Genomic DNA, 23,830 nt, shown 5'->3' with positions numbered 1-23,830 from the left:
TGTAATCCCAACATTTTAGGAAGCCAAGGTGGGCAGATCACTTGAACCCAGGAGTTCGAAACCAGCCTCAGCAACATGGCGAAACCCATTTCTACAAAATAAAAAAATTAGCCGGGCATGTTTGTGTGCACCTGTAGTCCCAGCTACTTAGGAGGCTGAGGCAGGAGGATCACTTGAGCCCAGGAGGTCCAGGCTGCAGTGAGCCACGACCACGCCACTGCACTCCAGCCTGAGTGACAAAGTTAGACCTTATGTCAAAAAAAAAAAAAATAGAAGGAGGCTGGGTGCTGTAGCTCACGCTTGTAATCCCAGCACTTTGGGAGGCTGAAGGCTGAGGTGGGAGGATCACTTGAGCCCAGGAGTTTGAGACGAAGCTGGGCAAAATAATGAGACCACATCTCTCAAAAAAAAATTTTAAAAATAAGCCAGGCACAGTGGCTCACGCCTGTAATCCCAACACTTTGGGAGGCCAAGGCGGAAAGATCACTTGATCCCAGGAGTTCAAGACCAGCCTGGGCAACATAGTGAGACTTTGTCTCTACAAAAATAAAGACAAAGTTAGCTGGGTGTGGTGGCACATGCCACGACAGCTACTTGTGAGGCTGATGTAGGAGGATCGCGTGAGCCTGGGAGGTTGAGGCTGCAGTCAGCCGAGATTGTGCCACTGCACTCCTACCTGGGCAGCAGAGTAAGACCCTGTCTCAAATATTTCTTTGTATAAATATGAAGAAACAGAAGGATGGAGACAGATATATGGAAAGATGAAGTGAGCAAAATGGAGAACAAGGGACTGGCTGAAATGAGGCAGGAATGTAGGGAGAGATATAAAGAGATGGGAACAGAGACAGACAGAGATTGGGGTCAGAGAAGCAGCTACATTAAAAATGAGGGAGAGATTAATGGGTACAAATATACTATTTGATAGAAGAAATAAGACCTAGTGTTCGATAGATCAGTAGGGTGACTATAGTTTACAGTAACCTATTACACATTTCAAAATAGCTAGAAGAGAATAATTCAAATGTTTCTAGCATAAAGACAAATATTTAAGGTGATGGATATCCCAATCACACTGATTGATTTTTACAAATTGTGTAAATGTATTAAAATATCATATGTGGATGGGCGCAGTGGCACATGCCTGTAATCCCACTACTTTGGAAGGCCGAGGCCAAGGTGGGTAGATTGCTTGAGTCCAGGAGTTGGAGTCCAGCCAGGGCAACATAGCAAGACCCCATCTCCACAATAAATAACAAAAAATTAGCCAGACGTGGTGCCCACCTATAGTCCCAGCTACTTGGTAGACTGAGGTGGGAGGAAGGCTTGAGCCTAGGAGGTAGAGGCTATAGGAGCCAAGATCACACCACTGCACTCCAGCCTAGGCAAAAGAGTGAGACCCTATCTGAAAAAATAATAAACATTGTTAAAAATCATATGTACCCCAGCCAGGCGTGGTGGCTCACACCTGTAATCCCACCACTTTGGGAGACCAAGGTGGATGGATCACCTGAGGTCAGGAGTTCGAGACCAGCCTGCTCAACATGGTGAAATACCATCTCTACTAAAAATACAAAAATCAGGCTGGGCACGGTGGCTCATGCCTGTAATCCCTGCACTTTGAGAGCCGAGGCAAGTGGATCACCAAGGTCAGGAGTTTGAGACCAGCCTGGCCAACATGGTGAAACCCCTTCTCTCCCAAAAATACAAAAATTAACTGGGCGTGGTGGCGGACGCCTGTAATCCCAGCTACTTGGGAGGCTGAGGCAGTAGAATTGCTTGAACCAGGGAGGCAGAAGTTTCAGTGAGCCAAGATCACGCCACTATACTCCAGCCTGGGTGATAGAGCAAGACTCAGTCTCAAAAAAAATAAAAATAATAAAAATAATAATTAAAAAAAACAGAATTAGCCAGGCATGGTGACGCACTTGTAATCCCAGCTTCTCTGGAGGCTGAGGCATGAGAATCACTTGAACCTGGGAGGCAGAGGTTGCAGTGAGTGGAGAACACAGCACTGCATTCCAGCCTGGGGGACAGAGTGAAACTCCATCTTAAAAAGAAAAATCAGGCCGGGCGTGGTGGCTCACACCTGTAATCCCAGCACTTTGGGAGGCCGAGGCAGGCGAATCACAAGGTCAGGGATCAAGACCATCCTGGCTAACACGGTGAAACCCTGTCTCTACTAAAAAATACAAAAAATTAGCCGGTCATGGTGGCGGCTGCCTGTAGTCCCAGCTACTTGGGAGGCTGAGGCAGGAGAATGGCATAAACCCGGGAGGTGGAGTTTGCAGTGAGCCGAGATCACGCCACTGCACTCCAGCCTGGGTGACAGAGCGAGACTCCGTCTCAAAAAAAAAAAAAAAAAATCATGTATCCCCAAAATATGTACATATATTATGCCTCAATTAAAAATTGTTTTAAAATAAAATTAATTAGGCTGGGTGCGGTGACTCACTCCCGTAATCCCAGCACTTTGGGAGGCCGAGGCGGGCAGATCGCCTGAGGTCGGGAGTTCAAGACCAGCCTGGCCAACATGGTGAAACCCCATCTCTACTAAAAATAAAAAAAATTAGCCTGGCATGGTGGTGCGCGTCTGTAATCCCAGCTACCTGGGAGGCTGAGGCAGGAGAATCACTTGAACCCAGGAGGCGGAGGTTGCAGTGAACCAAGCTCGCACCACTGCACTTCAGCCTGGGCAACAGAATGAGGCTCCCTCTAAATAAATAAATAAATAAATAAATAAAATTAATTATAAACAAAACAATTGTGGGCAGAGAGAAAAACAAAGCAATAGTAATAGCCAGGTAGTTGGAGGGGGAATGACTAGGATTAGATAAACAAAGATGGAAACAGAGATGGTGATGACAATGGGGAGGGAAATGTCAGTGATGTCAAAGTCTACATGTTTGAGTGTTCTGTCTGAAACATCTTCTAAGAGGTGTACATGTATTAACTCATTTAATCCTCACAATAACACTATGAAGCACAGGTACTATTATCAGCCCTATTTTACAGATGAGGACACTGAGGCACAGCAAGTCAATGGCACATCTAGGACTGGAATCCAAATAAATAGTCAAATACCAGAGACCATACTCTTGACTACTTTGTCAGTGACACAGGTAGAGACAAAAGGACGTGGAGCTGGGGACAAGATAGCAGATGAAGCACACCTAGCGACAGAGAGATGGGGACAAGAGTCAGACACATGAGGAAAACAGCCCAACAAGAGAGATGGTGACAGAGAAATAGAGGTAAAAATTGGATATAGAGTAATGAGAGAGAATCAGACAGGGAGAAGGAGGCAAGAAGACCAACATAGGAGTGTGTGTGAGAGAGGGAAAGACAGAAACAAGAATGTAAATGTTAAGAGGGAAAAAATGAAGACAGAGATACAGAGATAGGAACAGAAAGGTGAGAATAGAGAAAGACAGTGGTAGCGGGGAGCAGAGACAGATGAATGCAGCAATGCAGAGATGAGGACTGAGAGAGACAGCCAGAAATAGGATAAATTGGGACAGAGTGATGGAGACTTCTGGAAATACATAAAAGAGGCCAAGGAGCCAAGGGAAATTGAAAGGAAAACAGAAAAGACAGAAATTCTGGAACACATAGAAATTTAGAAACAGGCAGGGTGCGGTGCCTCACGCCCAGCACTTTTGGAGGCTGAGGCAGGCAGATCACTTGAGGTCAGGAGTTCGACACCAGCCTGGCCAACATGGTGAAACCTCGTCTCTACTAAAAATACAAAAATTAGCTGGGCGTGGTGGTGCATGCCTGTGATCCCAGCTACTCAGGAGACTGAGGCAGGAAAATCACTTGAACCTGGGAGGCGGAGGTTGCAGTGAGCTGAGATCACACCACGACACTCCAGCTTGGGTGACAGAGTGAGACTCCGTCTCAGAAAAAAAAAAAAAAAAAAACAGATGAGAGAGAACAATGTGGTCATATATATAAGGACAGAGACATGGACCAAGATGAGGATCATGAGTTAGACTCAGACAGGATGGAGACAGGGTAGCCAGCAACATAACTAATAGAATGAGAGAACAAGAGTGAGAGGGGAGAGAGTTTGAGAAAGAGAATAGGAGAGACAGGAAAAAGAAGCAGCCAGACAGTTGTAAACAGAGAGACAAGAAAAAGCAAAATAGAGACAGAGATAGGGGATGTCTGAGAGGTGGTGACAGTGATGGCTAATTGGGAGGAAGAGAGACAAAAACATGAAAGAGAAATAGTGGCCGGGCACCGTGGCTCATGCCTGTAATCCCAGCACTTTGGGAGGCTGAGGTGGGTGGATCACCGAGGTCAGGAGTTCGAGACCAGCTTGGCCAACATGGTGAAACCCCGTCTCTACTAAAAATACAAAAATTAGCCAGGTGTGGTGGCGGGCACCTGTAATCCCAGCTACTCGGGAGGCTGAGGCAGGAGAACTGCTTGAACCCAGGAGGCGGAGGTTGCAGTGAGCTGAGACTGTGCCATTGCATTCCAGCCTGGGTGACAGAGTGAGACTGTGTCTCAAAAAAAAAAAAAAAAAAAGGGAGAGAGAGAAATAGAGACAAAAGGATTAAATCTTTCTGATCCAACAATCATTCACAAGTCTCTTGGCTATATCAGGGTGAGCACTGGGCCATATGGGGCCCACTAGACTATGAGTTCAGGAAGGCAAGGCCCAGGCCTTTGTTATTCCTTACTGTATCCTACACTCATGATAGAGTGCCAGTCACATGGAGAGCTCCATTTATTAAACATTAGGCACCATGTCCTGTGCATGCCTTTTCGTGGATTATGTCATCAGAACCTCACAGGTCTGATGTAGTAGGTGTTATTATCATCCACAGTTTACACATGGGGAAACTGAGACTCCAAACAATGAATAACTTGCCCAACATCACACAGAGGAGCTAGGAGTGAATGAAGCTCCTGCCCGGACCAATGGTGAGAGTATATCATAAACCAAGGATTGGGATGAATCCTTTCCCATGCACTGAAGATACAAAAAGCCAAATTCCAGTCTGCTTGCTTCCAAGGACTACATGTTTGACTACAATGCCATACTGCTTCAATTGAAGGTTTGCTGACAGACTAATGGAAGACTGCGGTCTCTAGGGTAAGTGGGTCCTGACTCCTTGTACTCTGGAGCTCCCTCCTTCTAGTAGTTGAGGCAGACCTACCTAGCTTAGAGAGACTGGGAAAGCTCAGAGAGACTGGGGAAATGGCAGAAATAAAGCCCTGTGGGAAAAACTCAGCCTGGGAAAATCAGAGAAAGCTTCCTGGAGGAGGAGGTAATTTAAAGAGGCCAGAGGTAGATTTACATAGAAATCAATGAAGCTTAAGCTTCAGGGCTCCTCCTTTGCACAGGTCTCTTCCAAGGCCCTGTTTAATGAACAGTGAACAATCATAGTACTGAAGATTTGTCATTCTACAAAAAAATTAAAATGTCCTGAAATTTTACAGCTCATATATGAAAGAAACTAGACAAGGGTTTTCCCAAATTTGATAGCAGTCCTAAACATGTATAAAATATTATTATTATATGAAACTGAAACTTTGCTAAACTGTCAATAGTAAAAAACAAATTTCTATCAACCATGCTACTAAAAAAGACTAATTTTTTTTTTTTTTTGAGACTGGGTCTTGCTCTGTCACCCAGGCTGCAGTGCAGTGGCACAATCATGGCTCACTGCAGCCTCAACCTCCTGGACTCAAGGGATCCTCTTGCCTCAGCCTCCCAAGTAGCTGGAATTACAGGCAGGCACCACCATGCCTGGCTAATTTTTTAATTTTTTGTAGAGACAGGTCTCACTATGTTGCCTAGGTTGGTCTCCAACTCCTGGGCTCAGCCATTCTCCCACCTCAGCCTCCCAAAGTGCTGGGATTACAGGCCTTAGCCATCGCGCCTGGCCCTCTATTTTCTCTATCGCAAATGACCTTACTTCATGCATCAGTGAGAAAATAGAAGCCATCAAACATCAAGAATTTTTTACAGGGCCTTTATCTTCCCACCACTCAATCTGTAAAGTTACCTGTATTTGCATTTGTCTTTTTCTCATTCCTTCCTGTTACAATTAAGGGTCCAGGGACCCTCTGAGGCTCAGTACCCTAGATCCCAACCCCAACCTTTCCTTTCCCTTGTGTTAGTGCCTTTCTCTCTCTCTCTCTCTCTCTCTCTCTCTACTGGATCATTCCCAGAAGGAAACATAGTCCAGCATCTCTCATCTTAAAAAAAAAACATTATTTGACCCTCTTCCTATGATCATGCTATCTCCCTAGGATCTATTTCCCTTCACAGCCATGTTTCTCAAGGGAACTGCATACGCACATAACCCCACTTCACTGGGGTGGGAGGAAGTGTTCCTTCTAACCTCAGTGAGGATCCTATAACAATCCGGCCCTCTAGGCAATTAGTCTTATTTTTTTAATTAATTAATTTATTTGTTTTTCATGATATACATTATAAATTTTATAATATACATATCTGTACAGTTTGAATAAACAATTTAAAAAATCTGTGTCCCTATCACCTAGCTTCAATAAGAGATCATTTACTAATGACAAAACTCCTTGTACGACTCTCCCCAGTCATGTCTCCTTCACCTCTGTGACAGGTAACTGCCATCCTGAATTTTTGATTTTTCATTCCTTGCTTTTCTTGTTTTATAATATATGACTGCATCCACATACTGTTTAATTCTGCATGGTTTTCAGCTTTATATAAACATATTCTTCTGTGACTTTTTTGAATCAGTATTAGGTCTCCTGAGTCTCATCCATGTTGATACATGTAGCTACAGTTCATTCATTTTTAAAATTTCCTTATAGTATTCTGTTGTGTAAATATGTATGAGTGGGCCAGGTGCCGTGGCTCACACCTGTAATCCCAGCACTTTGAGAGGCAGAGGCGGGTGGATCACCTGAGGTCAGGAGTTCGAGACCAGCCTGACCAACATGTCAAAGTCCCGTCTCTACTAAAAATACAAAAAATTAGCCAGTTGTGGTGGCAGACACCTGTAATCCCAGCTACTCGGGAGGCTGAGGCAGAGAATTGCTTGAACAGGAGCGGAGGTTGCAGTGAGTCGAGATCGTGCCCTTGCACTCCAGCCTGGGCAACAAGAGTGAAACTCCATCTCAAAAAAAAAAAAGTATGAGTGTATTTATCCTATACTCTTGTTTCCAGTTTCTTGCTGTTACAAACAGACTTGTGAACATTCTTGTACATGACTCCCAATACACATACATGTGCAAGGGTTGCTTTAAGGAGCAGTTCTCAAACTTTTTGGTCTCAGGATCCCTTTATATTCTTAAAAAGCATTGCAGACCCCAAAGAGCTTTGATTTATGTGGTTTATATCAATTGATATTTGCCGTGTTTGAAATTAAAGCTGAAAAAGTTTAAATACATTAAAATAACAATAAGCCAATTACACTTAACAATATATTTTTATGAAAAATGACTATTTTTCAAAACAAGAATTTAGTGAGGAGTGGCATTGTTTTACATTTTTGTAAATCTCTTTACTGTATGGCTTAATAGAAGACAGCTGGATTCTCATATCTGCCTCTGCATTCAATCTGTTGTGATATCACATGTCATGTAGCCTCTGGAAAACTCCACTCTACATTCTTGAGAGAATGAGAGTAAAAAAGCAAGTAACATCTTACTATATTTTGGTTTTGGTTCTCCCCACTACCCCCATCCACAGGATCCCCAGATCACACTGTGAGAACTGCTGCTCTGGGGTATATACCTAGAATTGCCAGGTCACAGAGTATGTGCATCATTCAGCTTTACTAGAAAATGCCCAACTTTTTCTAGAATGGTTGTATCAATTTACACTCCCACCAATGGTATCCAGTGGTATCCATTCACTCTTCATCCATTCTGGTGTTCACCTCCACCACTCCTCCAAAACCACTACTATCAAGGTCATCAATGATATCAATGTTGCCATAGCCAATGGACCCTTTTAAATCCTTATCTTCTCAGCACTCTTGGAACATCCTTGACACACTCCTGGTTATGTCCCTGCCTCTTTTTTTTTTTTTTTTTTTTTTTTTTTGGGGATGGAGTCTCACTCTGTCGCCCAGGCTGAAGTGCAGTGGCATGATCTCGGCTCACTGCAAGCTCCGCCTCCCGGGTTCACACCATTCTCCTGCCTCAGCCTCCCGAGTAGCTGGAACTACAGGCGCCCACCACCACGCCCGGCTAATTTTTTGTATTTTTAGTAGAGACGGGGCTTCACCGTGTTAGCCAGGATGGTCTCAATCTCCTGACCTCGTGATCCGCCCGCCTCGGCCTCCCAAAGTGCTGGGATTACAGGCGTGAGCCACCGCGCCCGGAGCTCTTTACTTCTTTTTCAGTCTCTGCCAACTCCTGCTCCTTCACTCAACCTGTAAAGTTGAAGTTCCTCAAAGCTCAATCATGGATCCTCTTCCTTTCTCAGTCTTTACTGTTTCAGGGTGATTTTTTTCTACTCTTGACTTTTAATGCCATCTCTATGCTGACAACTCTAACTTATATCTGAAACAGACTTCTCCCCTGGGATGTATATACCACTATCTACTTGACTTCTCCACTTGGATATCTCAAGGGCATGTCCAGCTTAGCATATCCAAAACTGAACTCTTGATCTTCCCCTGAAAATCTGTTCCTCTTTCTGTCTTCCTCATCTCAGTGAGTGACTGGCCTACCATCACCAGATCCCTTGGAGTTCCCCCCTTGATTGGAATGGAATCCCTTGATTCCCCCCTCCCCCTCCTTCTCCCAAGCTTTCACACCAAGCCTTCTCAATTCTAAATATCTCTCAAATCAGTCTGCCTCTCTCCATCTCCACTGCCACCTCCTTAGTCAGCTCACCATCATCTCTGGCCGCAGTAGGTTCCTAATCTTGTCCACCTGCAATTCAATCTAGAGCAACCAAAGTCATCTTTGTAAAACGTTAAATATACCCTGTGAATCTCAAGCTTAAAACCTTTCAATGTGTATTTCAGCATTTTGGGGATGTGAGGTATCTGCAAAAGAGATACTATTTCCTCGGGATCCAGTTCACATACGATACAAACTGAAGCATTTCATGAAACATATTTACCCTTCCTACATGATCCTATGATACACTCTTTTTATTAATTAATTTATTTATTTGTTGTGTATGTGAGATGGAGTCTTGCTCTGTCGCCCAGGCTGGAGTGCAGTAGCACGATCTCGCCTCACTGCAACCTCCATCTCCCGGGTTCAAGCCATTCTCCTGCCTCAGCCACTCGAGTAGCTGGGATTACAGGCACGCTCCACCACACTCGGCTAATTTTTGTATTTTTAGTAGACGGGATTTCACCATATTGGTCAGGCTGGCCTCAAACTCCTGACCTCAGGTGATCCACCCACCTCGGCCTCCCAAAGTGCTGGGATTACAGGCGTGAGCCACCATGCCCAGCCCATTCTTATATTTTCTATTCTTAAATTGATTTCAGTACCTTCTCCAGTTTGACCCACATTTAAAAGCACTGCTTCAATACCTTTTCATTGCTTGTAGAATAAAACCCATTCTTCTTAACATGGCCTAAAAAGCCCTGCATAATCTAGCTCCTGCCTACCTTTTGAATCTCATATCCCACCCCTCTTGCCTTCCAAGCACTATGCTTTAGCCATATTAGCCTTCTATAGCTCCTAAATAGGCCATTTCTCTTTCTCCCCAGGGCCTTCCTACTTGCTGTATCCTTTGCCTGGAGCACTTTTGTGTCCACTCATCTGCCAACTCCCACTCCTTCAGGGCTCAGCTTAAATAGCAGCCCTTGCCTGACCCCTCAGGCTAAATCACACCCCCCCACACACACATACCCGTTATTCTCTTTCCTATCACCCTGTTCTGTCCCTTTATAACCTTATCACAATTTGTAATTATGTGTGTTTATGTGTTGTAATTATGTGTTTATTTCACATCCTCTCCAGTACCAGCCAATGAACTCTGAGGACAGTTTTTTCACCATTGTCTTGTTCATGTCTGTCTTATTCACTGCTGCATAGCTAGTGCATCACATGGTGCCTGGCCCATAGTTTGTGTTCAAAAGACATTCGTTGAATGAGCTGAGATCTGAAGAACAAATGAAGTGGAATTGGGGAGATGCAGAGAAAGTTTCACTCAGCGAGAACAGCATATGCAAAAACTTGGAGGCTAGAGAGACTAAGGAATAGTCTAAGAATTTCAGCACGGAAAGGCTGGCAGGGGCACAGATCATGAAGGGCCATTTAACCTTTCCTGTTAAGGAAGGTGGGTTTCATTTTGAGCCAGTAGAGACTCACTGAAGGGTCCTAAACATGGGAGTGATATAATTTGATTTAACTTTTATTTAATTATATATATATATATATATATTTTTTTTTTTTTTTTTTTTTTTGAGACGAGTCTCGCTCTGTCGCCCAGGCTGGAAGCAGCATGATCTTGGCTCACTGCAACCTCCGCCTCCCGGGTTCAAGCAATTCTCTGCCTCAGCCTCCCAAGTAGCTGGGATTACAGGCATCCGCCCCCATGCCCGGCTAATTTTTGTATTTTTGGTAGAGATGGGGTTTCACCATTTTGGCCAGGCTGATCTCGAACTCCTGACCTGAAGTGATCCACCCACCTCGGCTTACCAAAGTGCTGGTATTACAGGTGTGAGCCACCGCACCCGGCCTTATTTATGTTTTCAAAAGATATACACTGCCTATAGTGTAGAGAATAGATTCCAGAGAACAAGACTGAAATAGGGAGGCTGTGACAGTATTGCAGGTTAGAAATGGTTCTGGTCTAAACCAGGGTAGTGGCCCCAGAAATGTAGAGACTACATAAATAGATTTGGTAGGAGGTCAAAATGATGGGACTTGGTGACTGCATGGGTGATGGAGGAGAGAAAAGAATTAAGGGTGTAACCCGGGTTTCTGCTTTGACTGGGGTCATTCACTAAGGTAAGACACAAAGAAGGACAAACAGGTTGGAAGGAGGATGCCTTGAGTTGGGAAGAAGCTGAGGTTTTAGGTGTCTCTGGGATATTCAGGTAGAGCTGCCTAATAACCAGTTGAATGCATGGGTCAGGAGAAATATCTGGTTTTGAGGTATCAATTTGGGAGTCATCAGCAAAGATATGATCATTGAAGCCAGGGGAGCAAATGAGATAAAGAAAAGAGCGGCCTGTAATCCGAGGCTTCTCTTTCCTCAAGTGGATCACTTGAGGTCAGTAGTTGGAGACCTGCCTGGCCAATATGGCAAAACCCCGTCTCTACTAAAAATACAAAAATTATTCGGGCTTGGTGGTGCATGCCTGTAATGCCAGCTACTTGGGAGGCTGAGGCAGAAGAATAGCTTGAACCCGGTAGGCGGAAGTTGCAGTGAGCCTAGATCGCGCCACTGCACTCCAGCCTAGGCGACAGAGCAAGACTCTGTCTCAGAAAGAAAGAAAGAAAAAAAAATCACATGTAGAGAGAGGACAAGAGCGCTCAGGCCAAAGCCCTGAAGAGCACCAGCATAAAGCGTTGGACAAAGAGGAGCCTGGAAAGTAAAAAAAGAATTACTAAGGAAGTAGAAGAAAAACAAGGAAAGTGCAGTGTCATGGAAGTGGTTTAAGGAGGAGGGAGTGGTCAACAGTGCCAAATGCTATCAAGAAACCAAGTAGGATAACCTCTGAAAAGATTCTATGGGGGCTGGGCGCGGTGGCTGACGCCTGTAATCCCAGCACTTTGGGAGACAGAGGCCGGCGAATTACAAGGTTAGAAGTTCGAGACAAGCCTGGCCAGTATGGTGAAACCCCGTCTCTACTAAAAATACAAAAAAATAGCTGGGCGTAGCTACTCGGGAGGCTGAGGCAGAAGAATCGCTTGAACCCAGGAGGCGGAGATTGTAGTGAGCCGAGATCGTGCCGCTGCATTCCAGCCTGGGCGACAGAGTGAGACTCTTGTCTCAAAAAAAAAAAAAAAGAAAAGATTCTATGGGATTTAGTGAGATGTTTCATGGCAGACCCTGATGAGAGAGAGCAGTTTCAAGCAAGTAGTGGAGGCAGATTGGAGTGGGTTGAAAGATAAGTGGGAGGTGGGAAAATGAAGACAGTTGGGTGTAGGCAACTCTTTTGAGAAGTTTGTAGAAGAGAAGAGAAGGAGGTGGTTGGAGAGGCAGAATTCTTGGTAATTGTTTATTTGTTTTTAGATGGAAGAGGTCTATGTTTAGATGCTGTTGGGAAGGAGCAAGGACAAATTCCTAGGCTTCGTAGCAAAAAGTCAAGAGCTTCCTCTACGGTGGCTCTGTTTACTCTCTGCAGCAGGTCAGGTTATTTGCTGAGGGTTACAGGGCAGATGGAGCACTTGGGGTTTGAGGGGAAAGGAGAAGGTTTGAAATGGTCACTGTGGAGAACAGAGGGAGAGCTGACTAGTAGGGTTGTGGGTCAAAACTGAGGGCCTGGTAGAAGCTGGGAACCATGGGTTTATAGTGGCACAAATCTGTGAAGTTGAATAGTTTTCCCCAGCAATGTTTAGCTGCCTGGGCGCAGGCATGGAAAAGGCGGACAGTTGGACCGATTCAAGACTGGGATGTTGCCAGGCGGATGCGACAAATCAGGGAACTGAGGGTATTTAAGAAAGTGACTAAGTAAGGGACCAAGATATCTGGTCTGAGCAAAGTGAAGGAGAATCAGAGACAGGTCCTCTATGAGCCAAGCCCTAGGAACACTCAGGAACATGAAGAAAGGGTTTTGGAAAAGAGAGTGAACGGCAAGCAGAGGGGGGAAGACCTGAGATGGGATGGAAGGGCAGATATGGGGGGAGGGGGTTGAGCCCGGAGACTTGCCTGTGGGGAAAGCAGGCTGAGGGGGAATTTTTTAAGGGGCAGGAGGGCCTTGAGAGCGGTAGCAGCGAGAAGTGAGGCGGCCCCGAGCGAGGGGGCGTGGTCAGGCGCAAATCCCGGGCGAGGGGGCGGGGCCCCGGTAACTGGGTCCCAGTGCCGCTGTGGCTGCGGCTGCCTCTGCGAGGCTCCCGCCTCCCCACCCCCCTTCCCAGGGCTCCTTCCCGCCCGCCGCCGCCGAGACCCAGGCTGAAGCTGGGGAGGACGGTGGAGCCCGGCCCAGGCCGTTCTCCTGCCCCCGCGGCTGGAGCATCGTCTGGGACTACTGGCTGAAGGCGAGCCCCGCAGCCCAAGCGCAGCGCACACGCGCGCCCCCGGCCACCGCCGTTCTCTCTTCCCTCCCCTCCTCTCCCCTCCCCTCTCCTCCGCCCCCGGCCTCGGCTGCGGCGGGAGGAAGAACGCTTCCCAACCAGCCAGGAGAGCCCAGATCTATTCCCATTCGGGGAGAAAGAAGAGACCCCGCACTTGGATCCGACCGACTTCTCGCCCCGGGGCCACGGAAGTGGCTCGCCGTCCACCGGAGAGTCCCCGCCGAGCGTAGCCCTCCAACCCTCGCCCAACCGCAGCCGCATAGACAGCGCTCCCCAGCGGGCCCCCGGCCCCGCCGAGCCCACTCCCCGCGCGGGGCCGGGGCCGGGGCCGGCGATGCCTGGCACGGCAGCGGCGGTGGCCGCGGCTGCTGCTGCTGCTACTGCCACCGCTGCCACGGCTGCTGGCCCGGGCCCGGGCTGGGGGCTTGAGTCTCTGCAGTGGGGCTGAGCCCGCAGTCCCGCCCCCCGATCCTGAGGCCGCTGCTCCGCCGGGCGCCGGGCCTCCTCCGCCCGCGCCTCCGCCCCAGGAGCTGGAGCCAAGCGGGGAGCTCGGGCCCCGCGCCCAGGCCCGGACCATGCATGGCCACCGAGCCCCGGGGGGCGCCGGGCCTTCGGAGCCCGAACACCCGGCCACGAACCCGCCGGGCGCCGCTCCGCCGGCCTGTGCCGACTCGGACCCTGGAGCCTCGGAACCCGGACTGCTGGCGCGCAGGGGCTCAGGTTCGGCTCTTGGCGGCCCACTGGATCCCCAGTTTGTCGGACCCTCGGACACCAGCCTGGGCGCTGCTCCAGGCCACCGGGTCTTGCCCTGCGGTCCCAGTCCACAGCACCACCGGGCCCTGCGCTTCTCTTACCACCTGGAGGGCTCGCAGCCTCGGCCTGGTGAGTGAGCGACTGAGAGAGCATGGGAGCCCGGGCCACGGGCCTGGTACTGGGAGCGGGTTCTTGTTCTCGAGCCCTCTAAGCCCCACCTCGGAACAGGCTCGCTTACCTCGGCCCTTTGGGTTCCCTCAAACCCCTCCTCCTCCCCACGTCCCTTGGCCTTATGTCCAGTCCTTTCAACCTCTGTCCCCATCTCCTCTCTCTGTCCCTTGTGCCCCTCAACCTCTCCAACCCCCTTCTCCTCTGTCTGCTGAGGCTAATGGGAGAGGGAGCACTCGCGAGAAAAAGAGGGAGGATTGCAAGGCAGCAATCCTTGGATATTTGGTTGGGGAAACCAGGGTTTCGTTTGGAGAACAGAAGAAAAAAAGGAGCCTTACATTTGCCAAGCGCCTACATTGTACCAGGCACTGGACTGGGTGCTTTACATGGATTTTCATTTCAGCTTCAGGAACCCTCATGAAGTAGATACCATTAGTCCCATTTTGTAGGGAAGGAAACTGAAGCTCAGAGAAGTTAAGCAACTTGCCCAAGGTCACACAGCTAGTATGGAGCCACGATTCAAACCAGATCTGTTTGTGTCCAAAGTCTGTGGTCTTTCTGCTTCCCCAAACTGAGGCTGGAGACCATGAAAGTAATGCCAAGCCTTCTGCTTATGTGATTTTCTCCTGTACTATTCAGCAGCCCTGGAGTATGAGCGGAAAAAAAAAAAAAAAAAAAAAAAAAGAAAGACGGTGGATTGATCCAAGGTTGAGATTTTGCCAGGTGTGTGTGGCGGGAGAACAAGGGAAGGAAGGAGTAGAAGGTGCTGAGAGAGAAAGGTGGAAGAGGTGGGCCTTGGGAGTCAGGCTAGAGGAGAAGGCTGGAGGGGCTGATAGGTAGGGAGACAGCAGAAAAGCCAACAGAGGCAGAAGCCAGTTGTAGCAGGAGCTGGAGAGCTGCAGGTCCACGAGGTTGGTTGTGATGTGAAATCAGGATGGTTTCTTGGATTTGAAAAGGTGGAGCAGCTTTAAGTCAGGCTGAGGCCACAGACCACTGCCTTTGTGCTACACAGACCTGAGTGTCTGAGGAGCACAGCAGGACCTTCCCCATCTGGGGACATTCTCATACGGGCCTGAGCCCAGGAGCCACAGAAGAAGAGCAGCGCACATCTGCCCTGCCTTCCACTGGGACTGAAGGAGTTGTTAAGCCCTTGGGGGCTCCCGGGTTCACACCTCAGGCTCCACAGATCTCTGGGACCGTGGCCTTGCACCAGGTAGCAGTAGTGAAGTATAAAGCATGGGTAGGATGTGCCTTTTGGTGCCTTCATGACCTTGGGCTAGTCATGGAACCTCTGGGAGATTTCAGGGGGCTCCCTCAGTGTGGGCTGAAGATAACCAGCTGGCAACAGGCCCTTAACACCTTGGCCTGCATGTTACTTCTGCTGGCTTTCCAAACTCCCCTTGACACTGTGTAAAGCCAGTGCCTTTTTGCAGCTGCCAAAACAGGCCACAAGCACTCCCACCCCAGGACTTTTGCATTGGCTTTTCCTTCTGGCTGGAAGCTCTTCCCCTAGCCCTCCACCTGGCTTGCTCCTCGTCTTGCATGTCTCAGGTCAAATGTCACCTCTTCCAAGAGACTGTCCCTAACCACTTTAGGTAGGGCCACTTGTGAGTCTCCATCAGAGACTGTGAGTGTGCTTCCATCTTTGCACTTAGTACAATCTGAAATTATCTTATTGTATGTGTCTACTCGTTTATTGCCTATCTTCCTCTACTAGAATGTGAGCTCCATGGGGGCAAGGCGATTATATCTCTTTTGCTCACTGTTGTATCCCCAGCAACTAGCGCAGTGCCTAACACGCAGTAGGTGTTCAAGAAATCCTCATTAAATAAATGCCTAAACAGATACTAAAGAAGCACATAGTAGGCCCTCAGTAACTATTGCCTAAAAGAAGGACACCAAATTCCTGCCCTCTGGATACTCTTGATCTGAAAGTCAGTAGCTGGGCAATGTCTAGACCCCCAGTCTCTGGCCTCTGTAATCAATACAAGGTGATGATTCTGAGTATGCCTTCCCAATCCACCAATTCATTCAAATTACAAATCATAATACCCTTCCTAAACCACTCTCCTCCTCCCCAAAAAGGCAACACAGAGTTCCCAGGATCCTTTTCCCCAACGAAGTCCTTGCCTCTGTAATTGCATAGTGGGTGTCTTTTTTTTTTTTTTTTTTGATTCAAGATGGGGATTAGGAATAAGACAAGTGTCAGGGAAGGACCTGGCCTCCTATTCTAACTAATTCACTTTGTGACCCTGGGTGAGTGACTTTTCTTCTCTGAACCTCAGTTTCTTCATCTAGAGAATGCAATGAGGAGTCTATGAATTAATGGTTGTAAAGCCTGCAGCATGGTATAAATCCTCAGCAACCAGGAGTTTAAAAAAATAAAATTAAGTTAAAAAATAAGAGAAAAACCTTCTGAAGAAGAGGCGGAGGAATTACTCAGGCCCTGACTAGGCGGGCGCCGGGCCATGTGATTCACTGCAGCATGGGTTGTGAGAGGCCACCTCCCCCACTGCCCAGCCGGCCCAGGGGTAGGCACAAGTGACTTGGCTTCTCTCTCCATGGGACTCGCCTATAATTGGCCCTAAGAGGGCAGGGTTAGTGGTTGTAGGGTGTGTGTGTAAGAGAGAGACAGAGAGGGTTTCCTGAGCTTCAATTAAAGGGCTGAAACATGCTGGTCCACATGTTAAGATTTCTGTGTGCCTGCTGACTTCCTCCCTAACACTGCTGAGACCTTTATTGAATCACCATCTTTAGGGCTCAGTGGCTCATCCTGGGGGTGGGGGGAGGCTTTTAAAAATAATAATTGTATCTTAGCCATGTGAACAGCCTTGAATTGCTTCAAAGTGCTTTCTCTTTTAGTGATCCTGTCTGCTTCCTGGTGGGGAAAGGTACAGTTGTTATTATGCCCATTTTCCAGGTTGATTAAACCGAAGTCCTTGTTGGATCACTGGGAAAACCCAGTGAAATGCCAGAGAGGGGTTTGAGAGAGTCAGAAAGCGGTTTGCTTGCAGGGGTTTGCAGAGATGGTTGCTCTATTCCTCAGGGTTGAGGCCTAGAATGTCCTTTCAGATGCAGGGATTGTGGGGATATTGGTGTCTGACCCTAGCTAAGTCAAAGGAGTTGCACCTGATGTTAGAGCCGTTTTGTGGGTAATGGGGGAAACTGAGCCAGTTGAGGGGGGCAAGGGGAGGGGCTGACTCTTTCTCATTTGGATCCTGAGGCATCTTCAGAGTCTCCAAGAGTAAGAATTGGAGCTAGAAAAGACTCTAGATACTGCCTCGTTCTGAGTTTCCCTAACTGAGTGAGCATCAGAATCTCTTGTTGACCTTAAAAAAAAATGTGATTCCACACTCCACCTCAGAGTGCCAGAATCTTGGGGTTGACAACCAAGGAACCTATTTTCAAAAGCTCCTTAGGTGATTGTGATGCACAGCCTAGAGTGGGAACCACTAGTTAAGTCCGTTTTCCAGATGGGACAGTGAGGAAGGCTCAGAGAGGTAGTGATTTTTTTAGCCATCATCCTACAGTGAGTCAGCATCATTAGGGCCAGGAGAATACATCGGCCTCCCCATCTAAGGCCCTTTCCCCAGGGCCCCATGTGGGCTTCTGTCAACTCACTCCCAACCGCAAATGGAGGCATGGGATTAAACACAAAGGGAGAGTCAACCTCCTGCCCTCATACACACAAACACTGGCTGCCTCAGTTTACCCTTATTCTCAGCTCTCGTGAATGGCTACCATTTGGCAGTTCAAATTGGAAGGCAGTTGCCATTCTGGGACTCTAGGCAGAGGAAACCCTGGCATCATCAGTGCCCAGTGCAGGATCTGGCCCTAAGGAAGGGTTCTAGAGGGGTGTCAATAAAGGGTTGTAGAGCTAGAGAAGAACATGGAGGACAATTCAGGTAAGAGGTTCAGTGGAAGCAAAGGCAGCGAGACATGGGGCACTGGGGAATAGGGCTGGTATTGGGAGGAGTGGAGTGACAAGGCTGACAAGGAACTTTCTTCTGAGGGTGAAGAGAAACCATCGAAGGGTTTATTAACGAGAATGACATGCTCAGACGGGGTGTTTGGAAACTCTCCCTAGCTGCATGGGGAGAATGGATGGAAGGGGTGCAAGAGTGGAAGCAGGGAGACAGGCAGGTGAGTGTTGCAGTTTTCCCAGAGAGAGGTGATAGCTTGAGTTAGAGCGATGGGAGGTAAGGAGGGTAAGATCTGAGAGATATTTAGATGCTAGCATGGACAGGCCTTGGTAGTAGCTTGGATGTAGAGGCTGAGACAGAAGGCAAAGTCCAGATTGCTCCATGTTGTTTTCTGAAACCAACTACAGTGACCTGGTGGATGTTGGTGGGGCCATCTATATACAAGAGAGGGAGGAGGTTTGAGGGAAGATAGTGAATTATGTTTGAGACAAGTTGAATTCGAAACGCCTGGGGGTACATGCAGGTGAAGATGGCCAGCAGGCATTTGTGGGTTTGGTTCATTTTTGTTTTTTACTACCCAGGATGATCACTTTTAATATTTTGGTCTGTTTTCTGCTAGATCTTTTTCTACATATTGACGTATATTTTACATAATTGAAATCATACTATATGTTCAACTTTATATCATGCTTTTTCATTTAATATATGTATTTTTCCAATATCATTAAAAACTCTTCATGAACATTTTATTTTTTTTGAACAACATTTTAATGACTGCATAATAATATGCCATTGTATGGATTTACCATAATCTTTTTTTAAACTTTTATTTTAGGTTCAGGGGTACATGTGCAAGTTTGTTATATGGGTAAACTGCATGTCAGGGGGATTTGGTATACAGATTATTTCACCACCCAGGTAATAAGCATAGTACCCGATAGGTAGTTTTTCGATCCTTACCCTCCTCCCTCCCTCCACCCTCAAATAGGCTCCGGTGTCTGCTTTTTGTTTCTTTGTGTCCATATGTACTCAATGTTTAGCTCCCATTTATAAGTGAGAACATGCAGTATTTGGTTTTCTGTTCCTGCCTTAGTTTGCTAAGGATAATGGCCTCTAGCTCCATCCATGTTTCTGCAAAGGACGTGATCTCATTCTTTTTTATGGCTGCATAGTATTCCATGGTGTATACATAACACATTTTCTTTGTCCAGTCTACTATTGATGGGCATTTGGGTTAATTCCATGTCTTCGATATTGTGAATAGCACTGTGATGAACATACATATGCATGTGTCTTTATGGTAGAACGATTTATACTTCTTTGAGTGTATACCCAATAATGAGATTACTGAGTTGAATGGTAATTCTGCTTGAGTTATTTGAGAAATCACCAAACTGCTTTCCACAATGGCTGAACTAATTTATATTCCCACCAGTAGTGTATAAGCATTTCCTTTTCTCTGCAACCTGGCATGTTATTTTTTGACTTTTTAGTAATAGCCATTCCGACTGGTGTGAAATGGTATCTCATTGTGGTTTTGATTTGCATTTCTCTAATGATTAGTGATGTTGAGCATTTTTTCTTTTTTTTTTTCTCTGTCACCCAGGCTGGAGTGCAGTGGCTCTATCTCAGTTCACTGCAACCTCCGCCTCCCAGGTTGAAGCAATTCTCCCACCTCAGCCTCCCAAGTAGCTGAGATTACAGGTGCTTGGTGGCACCACACCCAGCTGATCTTTGTATTTTTAGTAGAGACGGGGTTTTGCCATGTTGGCCAGGCTGGTCTCGAACTCCTGACCTGAGGTGATCCAACCGCCTCGGCCTCCCAAAATGCTAGGATTATAGGCGTGAGCCACCACGCCTGGCTGATGTTGAGCATTTTTTTCATATGCTTATCGGCCACATGTATGTCTTCTTTTGAAAAGTGTCTGTTCAAGTCCTTTGCCCACTTTTTAATGGGGTTGTTTATTGCTTGTTGATTTAAGTTCCTTACAGATTCTGGATATTGGACCTTTGTCAGATTCATAGTTTGCAAATATTTTCTCCCATTCTGTAGGTTGTTTACTCTGTTGATAGTTTCTTTTGCTGTGCAGAAGTTCTTTCATTTAATTAGGTCCCATTTGTCAATTTTTGTTTTTGTTGTAATTGCTTTTAGTGCCTTCATTATGAAATCTTTGCCAGGTCCTATGTCCAAAATGGTATTTCCTAGGTTGTCTTCCAGGGTTTTTATAGTTTTGGGTTTTACATTTAAGTCTTTAATCCATCTTGAGTTGATTTTAGTATATGGTGTAAGGAAGGGGTCCAGTTTCAGTCTTCTGCATGTGGCTAGCCAGTTATCTCAGCACCATTTATTGACTAGGGAGTCCTTTCCCTATTGCTTCTTTTGTCAACTCTGTCAGAGGTTAGATGGTTGTAGGTGTGCGGCCTTATTTCTGGGCTCTCTATTCTGTTCCATTGGTCTGTGTATCTGTTTTTGTCCAGTACCATGCTGTTTTGGTTACTGTAGCCCTGTAAGTATAGTTTAAAGTCGGTAGTGTGATGCCTCTGGTTTTGTTTTTTGTTGTTGTTTTGTTGTTGTTGTTGAGATGGAGTCTCGCTCTGTCACCCAGGCTGGAGTGCAGTGGCGTGATCTTGGCTCACTGCAAGCTCCGCCTCCCGGGTTCAAGCAATTCTCCTGCCTCAGTCTCCCAAGTAGCTGGGACTACAGGCACCCGCCATCACGCCTGGCTAATTTTTTGTATTTTTAGTAGAGACGGGGTTTCACCGTGTTAGCCAGGGTGGTGTTGATCTCCTGACCTCGTGATCCACCCGCCTCGGCCTCCCAAAGTGCTGGGATTACAGGCGTGAGCCACCGCACCTGGCCTTTTTTTTTTTTTTTTTTTTTTTTTTTTTTTTTTGAGACTGAGTCTCGCTCTGTAGCCCAGGCTGAAGTGCAGTGGCATGATCTCGGCTCACTGCAACCTCCTCCTCCCGGGTCCTGGTTCAAGCAATTCTCCTGCCTCAGCCTCTCGAGTAGCTGGGATTACAGGCACACGCCACTGTGCCCAGCTAATTTTTGTATTTTTAGTAGAGATGGGGTTTCGCCACGTTGGCCAGGCTGGTCTTGAACTCCTGACCTCGTGATCTGCCCGCCTCGGCCTCCCAAAGTGCTAGGATTACAGGCGTGAGCCACCGTGGTTTGGTTTTTTTGTTTGTTTGTTTGTTTGGTTGGTTTTTTCAGACGGCGTGTCACTCTGTCGCCCAGGCTGGAGTGCAGTGGCATGATCTCGGCTCACTGCAACCTCTGCCTCCTGGGCTCAAGTGATTCTCCTGTCTCAGCCTCCTGAGTAGCTGGGATTACAGGCGCCCGCCACCATGCTTGGCTAATTTTTGTATTTTTAGTAGAGACATGGTTTCTCCATGTTGGCCAGACTGGTCTCGAACTCCTGACCTCAGGTGATCCGCCTGCCTCGGCCTCCCAAAGTGCTGGGATTATAAGCTTGAGCCACCATGCCCAGCTGGCTTTGTTCTTTTTACTTAGGATTGCCTTGGCTATTTGGACACTTTTGGTTCTATATTAATTTTTAAATAGTTTTTTAAAATTCTGTGAAGAATGTCATTGGTAGTTTGATAGGAATAGCATTGAATCTGTAAATTGCTTTGGGCAGTATGGCCATTTGAACAATATTGAGTCTTCCTATCCATGAGCATGGAATGTTTTCCCATTTGTTTGTGTCATCTCGCAAGCAGGCATTTGGACGTAAGATTGGAAAGTTCAGGAAAGAGGCCTGGGCCAGTGATGTTTGGGAGTTTTCACCACCAACACATACCATGTATAGATCTGGGAGCCAGTCCCATCCTTGAAGACAGACAGTAAGGTTGGCAGGGTCACACTCAGATGAATTATTCAGTACCTGCTGTAACTTTGCCATAGAAATGCCTTTTTTCAGGGGAAAGCAGTTTTTAAAGTATATTTTCATGAAGCTGAGACCCAGCCGTTTTTAAGGCATATTTGAGGGCTGGGCACGGTGGCTCACACCTGTAATCTCAGCTGCTCAGGACGCTGAGGCACGAGAATCACTTGACCCCGGGAGGCAGAGGTTGCAGTGAGCCAAAATTGCACCACTGCACTCCAGCCTGGGTGACAGAGCAAGACTGTGGTTTTGTTGTTGTTGTTGTTTTCTTTGTTTTTGCTTTTTGACGGAGTCTTGCTCTGTCGCCCAGGCTGGAGTGCAGTGGCAATCTCGGCTCACTGCAACCTCCACCTCCCAGGTCCCCGTTCAAGCAATTCTCCTGCCTCAGTCTTCCCAGTAGCTGGGATTACAGGCGCACACCACCATGCCCAGCTAATTTTTGTATTTTAAGTAGGGAAAGAGTTTCACCATGTTGGCCAGGCTGGTCTTGAACTCCTGACCTTGTGATCCGCCCGCCTTGGCCTCCCAAAGTGCTGAGATTACAAGCATGAGCCACCATGCCAGGCCAAGACTGTGTCTTAAAAAATAAAATCGACCGGGCACGGTGGCACACGCCAGTAATCCCAGCACTTTGGGAGGCCAAGGCGGGTGGATCACTTGAGGCCAGGAGTTTGAAACCAGCCTGGCTAACATGGCGTAATGTTGTCTCTACTAAAAATACAGAAATCAGCCAGGCGCAGTGGCTCATGCCTGTAATCCCAGCACTTTGGGAGGCCAAGGTGGGTGGATCACAAGGTCAAGAGATCGAGACCATCCTGGCCAACATGGTGAAAACCTGTCTCTACTAAAAATACAAAATTAGCTGGGCGTGGTGGCGCATGCCTGTAGTCCCAGCTACTCGGGAGGCTGAGGCAGGAGAATCACTTGAACCCGGGAGGTGGAGGTTGCTGTGAGCCAAGATCGTGCCACTGCACTCCAGCCTGGTGACAGAGCGAGACTCCGTCTCTAAGAAAAAAAAAATCATCCAGGTATGGTGGCACATGCCCATAATCCCAGCTACTCAGGAGGCTGAGGCAGGAGAATTGCTTGAACCCAGGAGGCAGAGGTTGCAGTGAGTCGAGATTGTGCCACTGCGCTCCAGCCTGGGTGACAGAGCGAGACTCTGTCTCAAAAAAATAAAATAAATAAAATAAAGCATATTTGCCGGGCACGGTGGCTCACGCCTGTAATCCCAGCACTTTGGGAGGCCGAGGTGGGTGGATCACAAGGTCAAGAGATTGAGACCATCCTGGCCAACATGGTGAAACCCTGTCTCTACTAAAAATACAAAAATTAGCCAGGCGTGGTGGCGCACGCCTGTAGTCCCAGCTACTCGGGAGACTGAGGCAGGAGAATTGCTTGAACCCAGGAGGTGGAAGTTGCAGTGAGCCGAGATCTTGCCACTGCACTCCAGTCTGGCAACAGAGCGAGACTCCATCTCAAAAAAAAAAAAAGCATATTTGAAGCCAGTCATGGTGCCTCACACCTGTAATCCTAGCACTTTCGGAGGCTGATAGGGGAGGATTGCTTAAGGGCAGGAGTTCATGACCAGCCTGGGCTACATAGTGAGACCCCGTCTCTACAAAAAATATTTTTAAATTAGCAGGGCATGGTGGTGTATGCCTGTAGTCACAGCTACTTGAGAGGCTGAGGTGGAAGGATCACTTGTGTCCAGGAGTTCGAGGCTGCAGTGAAGTATGATTGTGCCACTGCACTCCAGCCTGGGTGACAAAGTGAGACTCTGTCTCAAAAAATAATAAATAAATAAACATATTTGCATGAAGCTGAGACCCATTTCACGTACACCCAGGGTAGCTGGCTATTGCAAAGTATTGAGGGAGGAGTACTTCTGAAAAGCAAATCAAACATTGGTAAAGTAAATTTGTGTGGTTC

General features: G+C 47.3%; 1 protein-coding gene across 1 annotated transcript in view, besides 1 other annotated feature; it reads left to right on the top strand.

Annotated features, from left to right (window-relative positions):
- Positions 12,826–12,875: a silencer, noted in NCBI's record as "silent region_20864". NCBI's record gives its function as "represses an Ori minimal core promoter by ATAC-STARR-seq in GM12878 lymphoblastoid cells {active_cell/tissue: GM12878}" and the evidence as "EXISTENCE:reporter gene assay evidence [ECO:0000049][PMID:35858748]".
- FGD1 (FYVE, RhoGEF and PH domain containing 1) overlaps positions 12,938–23,830 on the top strand; it is a 50,781-nt gene continuing 39,888 nt past the window's right edge. The window contains exon 1 of the mRNA NM_004463.3: positions 12,938–14,046. Coding sequence (NP_004454.2) covers positions 13,740–14,046 — 307 coding nt within the window. The 5' untranslated portion in view covers positions 12,938–13,739. The remainder of the gene's footprint in view (positions 14,047–23,830) is intronic.

Source organism: Homo sapiens, chromosome X, assembly GCF_000001405.40.
Source record: "Homo sapiens chromosome X, GRCh38.p14 Primary Assembly".
Classification (NCBI taxonomy): Eukaryota; Metazoa; Chordata; class Mammalia; order Primates; family Hominidae; genus Homo; species Homo sapiens.
This window is presented reverse-complemented; position numbering and strand designations above follow the sequence as displayed.